This window comes from Homo sapiens, chromosome 7 (assembly GCF_000001405.40).
Source record: "Homo sapiens chromosome 7, GRCh38.p14 Primary Assembly".
In the NCBI taxonomy this organism is placed as follows: domain Eukaryota; kingdom Metazoa; phylum Chordata; class Mammalia; order Primates; family Hominidae; genus Homo; species Homo sapiens.
Genome location: NC_000007.14, coordinates 1,480,195 through 1,493,120, shown reverse-complemented (window position 1 = coordinate 1,493,120; position 12,926 = coordinate 1,480,195). Strand labels below are relative to the sequence as shown.

The following is a 12,926-nucleotide window of genomic DNA, read 5'->3' as shown; positions in this document are numbered from 1 at the left end:
GCTCTTGGTCTTAGATGTGGAGGTGCTGAAGGTGGGGAGGACCCAGCTGATCGACGCCGTTCTGAATCTGTGCACCTACCATCACCCTGAAAACATCCAGCTCCCACCGGGGTAAGCCCACGCCCCGCTCCCCACTCCCGCCCGGGTAAGCCCGCGCCCCGCTCCCCACTCCCACCCGGGTAAGCCCGCGCCCCGCTCCCCACTCCCGCCCGGGTAAGCCTGCGCCCCGCTCCCCACTCCCGCCCGGGTAAGCCCGCGCCCCGCTCCCCACTCCCCACTCCCGCCCGGGTAAGCCCGCGCCCCACTCCCCATGGGCCTGCTCATGGCCTGTTCCCAGAGACCAGTGAGGCCACTACGGGCCTTGACTGGCTCGGCCCGAGTCCAACCGTTACCTGGGTTTGAGTGGGCTGTTTCCCCGTTGTCTTCCCCGGTGTCTCCAGCTCAGTCATACCTTTTTCTCCTGTGTTTAACGTGTGTGCGTTATTTTTTACACAACGAGTTTATGCTCTATATATTCACGGCTTTATCGAGAGAGAATTCATGTACGTGTTATCTAAAGTGTGCAATTCCATGTTTTCAGAATGTTCACAGGTTGTACAACTTTCATTATAATTTAATTGTAGAACCTTCTTTGGTTCCCCCAAGAGAACCCCATTCCCACCAGCTGTCACTCCTCATTCCTCCCAGCGCAGCCCACGCAGCTGCTCACCTGCCGTCACCTCTGTAGAGCGGCCCTTTTGGGTGTTTTCTGTAAATGGCATCCTACAGTGCATGATCTTGTGACCAGCCTCCTTCCCCGGGCATGCTCTTTCCGGGGTCACCTGTGCTGTAGCATGAGGCAGTATCAAAGTCCTCCTCGTGGCTGAGGGCACCCCACTGTGTGGACAGAGATCATGTCTGCTGCTTCCGCTCCCCTGCTGACGGACGGTGCTGCTGTGAGCGTGTGTGGACAAATCTGTGTGGCCGTGTCTTCGGTTCTCTTGAGCAGGTGGCTAGGAGTGGGGTTGCTGGGCCACGTGTTTAACTGAGGCTCTGTCAGACCCTCCCCAGCGGCTGCCCCACCTTGAGTTCCCGCTTGCGTCCCCGCCAGCGCTGAGTGACGGTTCCTAGTCTCCATCCTCACCCGCACTCATGGCCCGTGTTTCTCAGCAGAGACATCCTGCTGGGGTGAGACGGTATCTCACGTTTGTTTCGGTTTGCATTTTCCGTTTTTTGTGGGGAACGGAGTCTTGCTCTGTCTGTCACCTAGGCTGGAGTGCGGTGGCACAATCAACGGTTCACTGCAGCCTCAACCTCCCTGGCTCAAGCGGTCCTCCCGCCTTGGCCTCCTGTGTAGCTGGGACTATAGGCACGTGCCACCATGCCCAGCTAATTTTAGTGTTTGCAGAGATGGGGCCTCACTTTATTGCCCAGGCTGTTTTCAAACCTCTGGGCTCAAGCAGTCCTCCTGCTTTGACCTCCTAAAGTGTTGGGGTTACAGGTGTGATGAGCCACACCGCGCCTGGCCAGGAGTTTTCAATTTTGAGCAAATCCACTTTTATCTATTTTTGTTTGGTTTCTGTGCTTTTGTGTCATGTCTAAGAAACTATCGCCTAGTCCAGGGTTGTGGAGATTTAATTCTGTGTTTTCTGTCAAGGGTTTTATAGTCCCAGCTCTTACTTTCAGGTGTTTGAGCCACTGTGACATAGTTTTTATGGTGTGAGGCAGGGGTCCGGCTTCATTCCTGTGTGTGTGGCCATCCAGCTGTCCCGGCACCGCTGTTGAAAGCCTGTCTTTCCCTGATGAGGTTCTCTTGGCTTCGTGTCGGAAGTCGCACCCATGTGGGTTGTTCCTGGACCTCACTTCCGTCCTGTGGACCCACGTGGGCAGCACAGAGCTCGCCTTTGGGGAGGCCCGATCATCTTCGTGCTGCTGCTGCTGCTGTGTGTGCTTTGACGTTGTACCTAGGACGCTGGGGCTGCCCCACGCTCCCGAAGCCCTCCTCCCGTTTTCTCCCGGGAATGTTATAGTTTGGTGATCAGTCTCCGGAGTCTGTCATCCACTTGGTGTGTGGTGTTTGGTGGGGCCCCACTTCATTCTGTTGGTTGGTTCTGGTTGTCGCAGCACTGTTGTTGAGAGGGCCATTCCTGCGCCTTGGGCCGTCTTGGCGCCCTGTCGGTGGCCTGTTGCGCCCAAGTTTGAGGGTTGACCTCTGGACTCTTGTTGCATGTAGGTGAGAGGGTTGACCTCTCGACTCAGCTCCATTCTGTCCGTCTGCACGTCTGTTCTGTCCGTCTATGTGTCCATCCTCTATAAGGGCTGAGTTTTACAATTGGGAAGTACGTTTTCCAACTTTGTTCTTTCCCAGGATTGTTTTGGCTGTTCTAGGTCCTTTCATTTCCACGTGAATTTCAGGGTGAGCTTGTCAGTTTCTGCAAAACAGATGACTGGGATTTCGAGGGAGACAGTGTGGAATCCATGGGTCAGTCTGGGGAGTGCCACCATGTCAGTGAGGCCACGCCCTGCGATCCGTGCACGTGGGAGGATTTCCCTTTATCCAGAGCTGACACCCTTTCAGGGGTTTCCCTTTATCCAGAGCCGACACCCTTTCAAGGGTTCCCGTTTATCCAGAGGCGACACCCTTTCAGGGGTTCCCGTTTATCCGGAGCTGACACCCTTTCAGTGGTGTCCGTTTATCCGGAGCCAACACCCTTTCAGGGGTTCCCGTTTATCCGGAGCCGACACCCTTTCAGGGGTGTCCCTTTATGCAGAGGTGACACCCTTTCAGGGGCGTCCCTTTATGCAGAGCTGACACCCTTTCAGGGGCGTCCCTTTATGCAGAGCTGACACCCTTTCAGTAGCGTTTGGAGTTTTGGTCGGACGCACTTCGGAATCCCGCACTGCACTTGAGCCTCGCGTGCTCTCTGATGCTGTGGTTGAGGTTCTCCTGCCTCTCTCCTTCGGCAGGTGCTGCCCGCTCTGCTTTCTGGTGTGGTCTTTCCCACTCAGCAGCCTCTGCATGTGGCTCCAGGCAGTGCCTCGATTCACATCTGTCTCATAGCCAGGATCCGTTTCCTCACCCGAGGGGCCCGTGCTTTGATTTAATTGTATCGTTACAATAATTCCATCTCGGTGGCTCCTGGGGTGGTGTCTGTTATGTCATGTAGAGTACAAAAATCATTGTCACTTAATGAACGTTTATTATGTATCCACCACCGCTCCCGTTTTGTAGATGGGAAACAGAGACTTAGAAAGGTAAGGACAGAGCCGGAGTCGGGCCTGGACAGGGAGCCCAGAGCCAGGCTGATGCACATGCTTGGACAGGTGTCACTGGAGGGCAGTCCCGGGAGGAGCTGGGAGCCAGCACCGTCCCTGCCCCAGCTTTGCCACCTGGCCCGGCCGATCCTTGGCGCTGAGCTTGGTGCGCTGGGCCTGAGTCGGGGCGCCCCTGCCTTCCAGGTACCAGCCTCCGAACCTCGCCATCTCTACCCTCTACTGGAAGGCCTGGCCCCTCCTGCTGGTCGTCGCCGCATTCAACCCAGAGAACATCGGTGAGCCTCTGCTGGCCGCCCCATGCGCACACGTGGCCCTGCTGGTCCTTATTCCTTTGGGGCAGTTTGTCTGTTGGGACTTGGGATGAGCCCAGCTGGGGATGAGAGGAGGAGCTGGGAGAAGCGGGGGTCACACGCCTGGTGCCCAGGGGAGCCTGGCCAGCCCCACACCCTCCGGTTCCCTAGGCCTGGCTGCGTGGGAGGAGTACCCGACCCTGAAGATGCTCATGGAGATGGTGATGACCAAGTGAGTGCGCACGTCCCCTCGGCGGGCCCGGGATGGGGAGCAGGGCCTGGTCTCGTTCCGCTGGGGCTGTGTTCCCTGCTGTCTCCTGGGTCGTGCTGCATCAGCATCTTAGCATCTTCTGTTGACTCATGGACCTGAGCTTCTGGATCTAAGCCTGCTGCACTTTGTTCTCTTCTCTTTCCCTTGCCGGGAGAGGGGGTGTGGATTGAGGCGGCATCACGGAGGCCAGCAGGGAGGTCCGCAGGCACCCCCAGCTCTTCTGGGCAGCGCTTATGCTGCCGACAGGAGTGGGGACTGGGCAGGCTGGGGGTGGTGCGATGCTGGAGGACGTGGCAAGAGAATCCGGCCAGAGATGGGTTAGACAGGATGGAGCCAGGCCCAGTGGGCCAGGTGGGCTTTAACACTGGCCAGTGGGCCAGGTGTGACCCTGCGTGGGATCAGCAGTGGGTGAGCCTCAAGGACAGTTCAGTGCAGGTGGGACGAGAGTCGGCACAGCCTGCCTAGGAGACGCCCAGGGCTCACCACCAGCTGTGCCTGGCAGCATTGGTGCCCACACAGTGTGGGCGAGGGCCGATGAGCTCTGGGGCCAGCATCCTATCTCACCAGTGAGGGCACCACACCAAGGGCAGTGGCCAAGGTGAAGGGGCGCCCGAGGCTGTGGCATCATAGGGACGGGGAGTGTGTGTGGCCCTGGTATTGTGGGGACCAGGTGTGTGTGTGTGGCGTTGGGATCGGGTACGTTTGGGGCCGTTGCACTGTGAGGACTGGGCATGTGTCTGCCCATGGTTTTGTGGGGACTGGGTGTGTGTCTGCCTGTGTGTTGTGGGGAGTGGGTGCGTGTGTGTCCTGAGGTGGGAGGCACAGCTGCTTCCCCCCACCTCTGAAGGAGCAGACTGACTTTGGGGCCTTGGGGACAGAGCTCAGATTAGAGCGGCCATGGGGAGCTGGGTTTTGGAACACGCCGAAGCCACGTGTGCCTCTGTAGGCAAGAGAGTCCCTGCCCTGCAGGTCTGTCCCTGGATGGGGCGGGCAGAGCCTACATGGCTGTCAAACTAGGCTATGCTCCCAGCGTAGGTGGCGTGGAAGGGGAGGTGGCCTGGGAGGAGGCCAGGTTCTGACACCGCTGGCCTTGGCTCTGGTGAGGGCAGGCGTGCTGCCTGCGGAGGACGAGGCAGTGGCTGGACCGCGCCTCTGGGCAGCGCTGCGGCTTCTCGTCTCAGCTCTGACAGCCCCATGGATGCTACCGGGCGCCCTGTGCTCCTGACTGCTGTGCAGCAGAGGCAGCAGCAGCCGTAGGGGTTTTACCCTCCTTGACCCTGAGCGTGGCCCACTGGGAGTGAGCCCTTCATGGGGGGCAGGGTGACACGCTCCCCCGTCTGGCCCTAGCAACTACTCCTACCCACCGTGCACCCTGACGGATGAGGAGACCCGGACGGAGATGCTGAACCGTGAGCTGCAGACCGCCCAGCGGGAGAAGCAGGAGATCCTGGCCTTCGAGGGGCACCTGGCGGCCGCGTCCACCAAGCAGACCATCACTGAGAGCAGCAGCCTCCTCCTGTCGCAGCTCACCAGCCTGGACCCCCAGTACGCAGCCCACACAGCCCCGCCCTGCGCCTGCCGTCGGGACCTGTGGGTGGTTGGTGTGGGTGGGACAGAGGCTGAAGGAGCAGGCGGAGCCGACCGCACTGCGGCAGAACCTGAAAGGCCTGTGGAGCCCCGTCCCCGCGTCCCTGGCTTACTGCTGTGGGGCCAGGCCTTGGGGACATCCCAGGTCAGGATGGGTTGCCCGTCTCGGGCTGTCGGCTGCCCCTCGAAGCAGGGATGGGAGGAGGAGGGGTTCTGGGGGTGATCCGCTCAGGGCGTGCTGACGCACCGTGTCCCCTGTGGCCCTCAGGGGGCCCCCCCGGAGGCCTCCCCCTCACATCCTGGATCAAGTGAAAAGCCTCAACCAGTCCCTCCGCCTCGGGCACCTCTTGTGCCGCAGCCGAAACCCTGACTTTCTCCTCCACATCATCCAGCGGCAGGTGAGTGCCGAGGCTCCAGGAGGTAGAGATGGTGGTCTTGGGAGGCCCGGAACCTTCCGGAGGCCTTGGTGGCCAGAAGAGGGCAGGACACACCTGGATGCGGGGCCCATGAGCTGGCTGCTGCGTGTCGCCCTTTCCGGCTCCGCGGTCACCCGGGGGGCTGGCGGCAGGTGTTGGGCCTGGAAGGTGCTGAGCGGGCGCCACTGTCGCCTGCCCAGGCCTCCTCGCAGTCCATGCCCTGGCTGGCGGACCTGGTACAGTCCAGCGAGGGCTCCCTGGACGTGCTGCCCGTGCAGTGTCTGTGCGAGTTCCTGCTGCACGATGCTGTGGACGATGCTGCTTCCGGGGAGGAGGACGACGAGGGCGAGAGCAAGGAGCAGAAGGCCAAGAAGCGGCAGGTCAGGGCCGCCCACCCCTCAGCCCCCCCGCCTCTCACCCCGCACCCCTGTCAGGGCAACCCATGCCTGAGCCCACCAGCCGCGCACCCCACGTCCTACCCGCCTGGCCTGTCACCTGCACCCCTGAGAGCCCCTTCCTCCCTGCAGAGGCAACAGAAGCAGCGGCAGCTGCTGGGCCGCCTGCAGGACCTGCTACTGGGCCCGAAGGCTGATGAGCAGACCACGTGTGAGGTGCTGGACTACTTCTTGCGGCGCCTCGGCTCCTCCCAGGTGGCCTCCCGCGTGCTGGCCATGAAGGTGAGGTGGTGGGCGGGTCTTTCTGCGCACGCTCTTCATGTTTAAAATGAGTAGGCTGGGGACCGGGCACGGTGGCTCACGCCTGTCATCCCAGCACTTTGGGAGGCCAAGGCAGGCAGATTACCTGAGGTCAGGAGTTGGAGACCAGCCTGGCCAACATGGTGAAATCCCGTCTCTATTAAAAATAGAAAAAATTAGCTGGGCGTGGTGGAGGGGGCCTGTAATCCCAGGTACTCTGGAGGCTGAGGCAGGAGACTCGCTTGTACCTAGGAGGCGGAGGTTGAGGTGAGCCAAGATTGTGCCACTGTACTCCAGCCTGGGCAACAAGTGAAACTCCATCTCAAAAAAAAAAAAATAAATAAATGAAAAATAAAGAAGTAAAATGAGTAGGCCTGGGGCAGTGGCTTGCTCTTGTCATCCCAGCACTTTGGGAGGCCGAGGTGGGAGCATCACTTGAGTCCAGGAGTTTGAGACCAGCCTGGGCAACACAGGAAGATCCTCTCTCTACAAAAACTGAAAAAATTAGCCAGGTGTGGTAGTGTGTGCCTGTGTTCCCAGCTACTTGGGAAGCTGAGGCAGGAGGATCACTTGAGCCCAGGAGTTTGAGACCAGCCTGGGCAACATAATGATACCCATCTCTACAAAAAATAAAAGATGAGAAAAATGAGCTGGGTGTGGCAGCATGCACCTGTGGTCCAAGCCACTTGGGAGGCTGAGATGGGAGAATCACTTGAGGCTGTAGTGAGCTGTGATCACACCACTGCACTCCAGCCTAGGCAACAGAATGAGACCCTGTCTTAAAAAGGAAAAGTAAAAATCAAATGAGTGTTCAGTGCACTCTGACTGTATTTTAAGTTCCTTCCCTGCGTAGGAAGGATGCGCTAGTGAAACGTGAAGGTGGACCCTGCCGCCTGCCTGGTGTTCCTTTCTTGCTGGTGACGGGAGGGTCCAGAGTGGCTTCAGGAACTTGAACAGAAGCATTTAACAGAAAGAGCTCAGTCTCGTTTTTCCCTTTTACCTGCGGCCTCTCCCGTGGGAAGCAAGCGCCACATTCTCCTCGGGGCTCTGAGGGCACCATGCGTGTGCTCCCGGGGCCAGGGTGAGACCCTGCCTGCACTGCCGAAAGCCGGCCCAGCTCATGAGTGTCTGCCACAGGGTTTGTCGCTGGTGCTTTCGGAGGGCAGCCTGCGGGACGGGGAGGAGAAGGAGCCCCCCATGGAGGAGGATGTGGGGGACACAGATGTGCTGCAGGGCTATCAGTGGCTGCTGCGGGACCTGCCTCGCCTGCCTCTGTTCGACAGCGTCAGGAGCACCACAGCCCTGGCCCTGCAGCAGGTGAGGGCGCTGACCGGGGCCGCGGCAGGGAAAGATGAGAGGGCCGCAGCCCTGCCCTGTTGCCGCTCAGACCACCCTCCCCTCCAGGCAATCCACATGGAGACTGATCCCCAGACCATCAGCGCCTACCTGATCTACTTGTCCCAGCACACGCCTGTGGAGGAGCAGGCCCAGCACAGCGACCTGGCCCTGGTGAGGCAGCAGGGTCAGCCAGCAGTGTGGCCCTGGGGAGGGGACGGGGCCAGCCGGCAGTGTGGCCCTGGGGAGGGGACGGGGCCAGCCGGCAGTGTGGCCCTGGGGAGGGGACGGGGCCAGCCGGCAGTGTGGCCCTGGGGAGGGGACGGGGTCAGCACAGAGACCCTGCCCTGGGGAGGGTAAGGGGCCAGTGGTGCAGTGCCCTGGGCTGGCGGCTTCTTGGGCCACAGGGAGGCATTGAGGGTGGGAGGGCCGTCACGGCTGCTGTGCTGGGGCTTCTATGACCCCGTGGCCACCTGTGTCCCTTCCTTAGTCACCACTCACTCCCTGGAGCCTTTCTCCCCAGACCCTGAGGATGCGAAGCCACGGGGGTGAGGGTGCCTTGTTCACAGCAGGGTGGAATCTGAGCCATCAGCCTTCTCCCCGACGCCAGGAGGGTTTGGGCTGTGGGCCCAGGTCGCTGGGCACCTGCCCGCTGTCCTCAGCATCTCTAGCTCACATGTGTGGCGCTGACTCCCATCTTCTCTCCTGGGTGCTGTCCTTCTCTGCTGGGCTGCTTCTCACTTTGCATCACGGTTCTCTTGTCCACAACCTGCGCTGTGACCTAGTGAAAGTTGGTGGCCCGAGTCCTCAGGGAATGAGCGATAGGTGAACAGATGGTGGCTGCCGGGCAGAGGGCAGCAGCGTCCGCTTTCAGGGCCTGGTCATTGTCCCTGGCTGTGAGAGTCGTGTCCTCCCTCCCCCCTGGAGAGTCCGACCCAGCTCTGGTCGTCTTCCCTGGCGGCCTGCGGCTGAGTGAGGGTCTGCGGTGCCGCGGGCCCTGCTTAAGATCCCAGTGAGAGCGTGCCTGCGACGAGGTCACCCCAGCTGGCCGGAGAGCAGAGCTGTCTCGGAGCCTCTGACGCCCCCCTGTCCACACACCAGGACGTGGCCCGGCTGGTCGTGGAGCGCTCCACCATCATGTCCCACCTCTTCTCGAAGCTCTCCCCGAGTGCCGCGTCGGACGCCGTGCTGAGCGCTCTGTTGTCCATCTTCTCACGCTACGTGAGGCGCATGCGGCAGAGCAAGGAGGGCGAGGAGGTCTACAGCTGGGTGAGGGCGAGGAGGTCTACGGCCGGGTGAGGGCGAGGAGGTCTACGGCTGGGTGAGGCTGCACGGCACGCTCGGTGCCAGCTGGGTACCCTCGGCGCTGGCTCAGGGTCCCTGAACCTTACGGCCTGACTCCACCTCTTTTCCCACAGTCGGAGTCTCAGGACCAGGTCTTCCTACGCTGGAGCAGCGGGGAGACAGCCACCATGCACATCCTCGTGGTCCATGCCATGGTGATCCTGCTGACGCTGGGCCCGCCTCGAGGTGAGCCGCCACAGGCCCCGGGAGGGGCAGCTTCGTGCCAGGTGGGCCACAGCCCTGACCACACCCAGCGGCTTCCGCATCCTTGCCTTGCTTCTGGGCGGGAAGCCCCCCAGCCCTTCAACCCTGTGTCCTGGCTTCTCTCCTAAAGAGGAGGCTGCAGTCCGTCCCGCGTGTCTCTGAGCACTTGGTGGACGTGTGGGAGATCCCCACGTGGTGGGACCTCCCAGCCTGTAGAGCCCTGAGCTGGAGGGCCTGGTACAGCCTGGGGTCAGAGTCCTCACTGCCCCAGCCTAACCGTGTAGGCCTGCGGTGCCTGGGAGGCGGCAAACTCGGGATTTCACCGTGTGGAGGTGCGACATGAGGCTGCCAGGCAAGTGGGTCCTCTCCCCGGGGCCCAGGCGAGTGACCCTGAGGACGCTCTGGCCAGCGCAGTGTCTGGAACCCAGCGCCTACCCAGCCGTGCCCTCTGCGGCCGCAGCCTTCCCCTTTACTCCTGGCTGACACCATGAACTGCTCCCACGTTCACCCCGTTGTGTCTGTCAGTGGGGGAAGGGGGCGGAACCCTCATGCTGGGGTTCGGGTGGACGTGGGTGGGTGGTGACCCCTGTTGGGAGGCAGACACAGTCACAGGCGTCGCCCTTGGGAAGGGCAGCCGGAGAAGCTGGCCCTGTGTGGGCCTGGGCCTGTGGGGTTTCCCAGTGGCTTTGCGGAGCCAGAGAGCTGGATGGGACCTGGTCCAGCCAAGCAAAGCCCCGAGGGCAGGGGCTGGATGGGGACACGCACATGTCCCCTTGGCCACGACAAAATGGCAGTGATGCTGCTTGCCTTCCTGCAGCATCTGTGAGGATCAAATGCGTGCACCTACGCAAAGCATCCGCACATAGCAAGTGCTCACCTAGCACAGGAGCCCCGTGCTCCTCCCAAGTCTCAGTTTCCTTCTCGGGAGAGGAGGTGCCTCTAGCCTTGGCACCAGCGGTGCTTGGGGCTGGGCCCCGGTGGGTCTGAAGGCTGCTCACCCGTTGTCCTTCCTGAAGCCGACGACAGCGAGTTCCAGGCGCTGCTGGACATCTGGTTTCCGGAGGAGAAGCCACTGCCCACCGCCTTCCTGGTGGACACATCGGAGGAGGCGCTGCTGCTTCCTGACTGGCTGAAGCTGCGCATGATCCGTTCTGAGGTGCTCCGCCTGGTGGACGCCGGTACGGTCCAGGCTGGGCTTGGGCAGGGGCTGCTGACTCAGGGGTCCCGGGCCCCTTGCCTGCTCCTTGTGGGCCTGGGCAGCCTCCGGCTGTGGCAGAGGAGAAGACTGGCCGGGTAGCCTCAGGGGATCCTGCAGACCATATGTCCTGGCCACAGCAGGCTGTGCTGGACCCTGGGAGGAGACCTAGGGCAGCCTGTGCTGGCCCCGTCCGAGAGGGTCTTACTGTCAGGCTCAGGGGTCTAGAGTGAGAAACAGGTCCTCGATGGAAAAAAGAGAAAGTGGTCTGGGGTTGGAGAGGAGGAGGAGAAGTGGTGGGGCCTCTGGGTGGGTCCCTGAAGGATTTGGGGGTTGGAGCTGCAGCCGGGGACCCCAGCAAGGACTGAGCAAGGGGCCTGGGCCCACGTAGGTCAGTAGGGCTGGTGCCTGCTCACAGTGAGGAGACACTGGGGGCAGCTTGGTGAGTGAGTGGGGCTGGCTCTGGAAACCCATGACTGCCAAGGGGTCTAGGCTGTTGTGTGCCCCCGGAAGCCACCGATGGCTTCGGGGCAAGAGCGCCCTGAGCACTGAGAGAAGATAGTCACAGCAGCCTGCGTGCAGCTTCGGAAGTGTACTGCGCCGTGCCACCATAGGCCCTCTGGAGCGCCCACCCACCCCTGGGGATGGGGCCCACACAGCTGCCATCCAGGGTGCAAGGTGGTCCCGACACGCTGCCCCCTTGTGCGGCCCCAGGTCTCGGGTGGGGTCACCGAGCCCACGTGGCCCAGGGTCTCAGGTGGGGCTGCCGAGTGTGCACTGCCCCAGGTCTCGGGTGGGGCTGCCGAGTGTGCACTGCCCCAGGTCTTGGGTGGGGTCACCGAGCCCACGTGGCCCAGGGTCTCAGGTGGGGCTGCCGAGTGTGCACTGCCCCAGGTCTTGGGTGGGGTCACCGAGCCCACGTGGCCCAGGGTCTCAGGTGGGTGGGGTCACTGCACACAGGCAGCCCCAGGTCTCGGGTGGGGTCCCGAGTGCGCATTGCCCGGGTTTTGGGTGGCGTTACGGAGCGCGTGCACCCTCAGCCCTGCAGGACCTGGAGCCGCAGCAGCTGCTGCTGTTCGTGCAGTCGTTTGGCATCCCCGTGTCCAGCATGAGCAAACTCCTCCAGTTCCTGGACCAGGCAGTGGCCCACGACCCCCAGACTCTGGAGCAGAACATCATGGACAAGAGTAAGATGCCAGGGACCTGCGGAGTGGGTTCACACACGCTGACCGAGCCCCAGCCCGGCCAGGCTTTTGGGGCCTGGGTGCGAGCGGGTGGGTGATCCGAGGTCGGGTGGGTGTGGGTGGCACTCGAGGGCAGGCTTAGACCTGTGGGTTGGTGAGGCTGGCACAGTCAGGAGGGAGCCGAGGCCTGGGCCTGCCCCAACCCTGGGGCCAGGCACCCCCTAGGGCCGTGTTTTGAGCTTGGAGGGAGCTGTTGGGGCCTCAGTGCTGACTGAGCTCACCCAGCTTCTGAAGTCCTTGGGAAGTGCTGGTGACGGTGGGGGCATCTCCAACTCTGGTTTCTGTGGAGAGGGAAGGACCTGCTCCCTGGCCCCTGGCCGCGCCCAGGTGTGACCCTGCTACGGTTTGCAGATTACATGGCCCACCTGGTGGAGGTCCAGCATGAGCGCGGCGCCTCCGGAGGCCAGACTTTCCACTCCTTGCTCACAGCCTCCCTGCCGCCCCGCCGAGGTACTGGGGAGGGGTGGGGCCAGCACAGAGACCCAGCCTGGGGAGGGGTGGGGCCAACACAGAGACCCAGCCTGGGGAGGGGGACGGGGCCTGCACAGCCACACAGGGCAGTGCACACTTGCTGATGCCACCTGAGAGGGGCCCCCACAGAAACTCTCAGCCTGTCTTTGGGCAGCATTTGCCTCTGGCCAGCATGCACGTTCCTGTTCAGAGTCTTGAGATCCCTGTGGACCTGAGCGAGACCTGGGGTCCTTGGGGAACACAGAGCCCAGGTCTGAGCTCTTCCTCCTGGGTGACAGTCCCCGGGCAGGACTCGCCATGGCTTGTACAGTTCCCACCGCTGGAAGCAGGTCAGAAAGTGTCCAGCCACTGACAGTTCTCCTGTCTCTGCAGACAGCACAGAGGCACCCAAACCAAAGAGCAGCCCAGAGCAGCCCATAGGCCAGGGCCGGATTCGGGTGGGGACCCAGCTCCGGGTGCTGGGCCCTGAGGACGACCTGGCTGGCATGTTCCTCCAGGTAGCGTTGCTGCTGCATGTGGGTCTCCACCTGCAGCCCCTCTTCCTGCGTGCAGCCTTCGCTGCCGCCTCGCACGCACAGCGGCCTTTACTTGCGTGACCGCCTGACCCAGGCACGCTGCA

At 62.0% G+C, this 12,926-nt stretch overlaps 1 protein-coding gene across 3 annotated transcripts in view; it reads left to right on the top strand.

Moving 5' to 3' along the window:
• INTS1 (integrator complex subunit 1) overlaps positions 1-12,926 on the top strand; it is a 34,113-nt gene that overhangs the window by 11,269 nt on the left and 9,918 nt on the right. For 2 of the 3 annotated variants that reach the window (NM_001080453.3, XM_011515260.2), the window contains exons 16-30: positions 15-111; positions 3,439-3,530; positions 3,717-3,777; positions 5,164-5,361; positions 5,672-5,801; positions 6,020-6,199; positions 6,347-6,496; positions 7,652-7,831; positions 7,919-8,023; positions 8,951-9,118; positions 9,268-9,379; positions 10,414-10,575; positions 11,633-11,779; positions 12,188-12,286; positions 12,680-12,804. In NM_001080453.3, coding sequence (NP_001073922.2) covers positions 15-111; positions 3,439-3,530; positions 3,717-3,777; positions 5,164-5,361; positions 5,672-5,801; positions 6,020-6,199; positions 6,347-6,496; positions 7,652-7,831; positions 7,919-8,023; positions 8,951-9,118; positions 9,268-9,379; positions 10,414-10,575; positions 11,633-11,779; positions 12,188-12,286; positions 12,680-12,804 — 2,006 coding nt within the window. Of the gene's footprint in view, positions 1-14; positions 112-3,438; positions 3,531-3,716; positions 3,778-5,163; positions 5,362-5,671; positions 5,802-6,019; positions 6,200-6,346; positions 6,497-7,651; positions 7,832-7,918; positions 8,024-8,950; positions 9,119-9,267; positions 9,421-10,413; positions 10,576-11,632; positions 11,780-12,187; positions 12,287-12,679; positions 12,805-12,926 lie in introns of those variants that run through there. The other variant, XM_011515262.3, reaches the window with a different exon arrangement.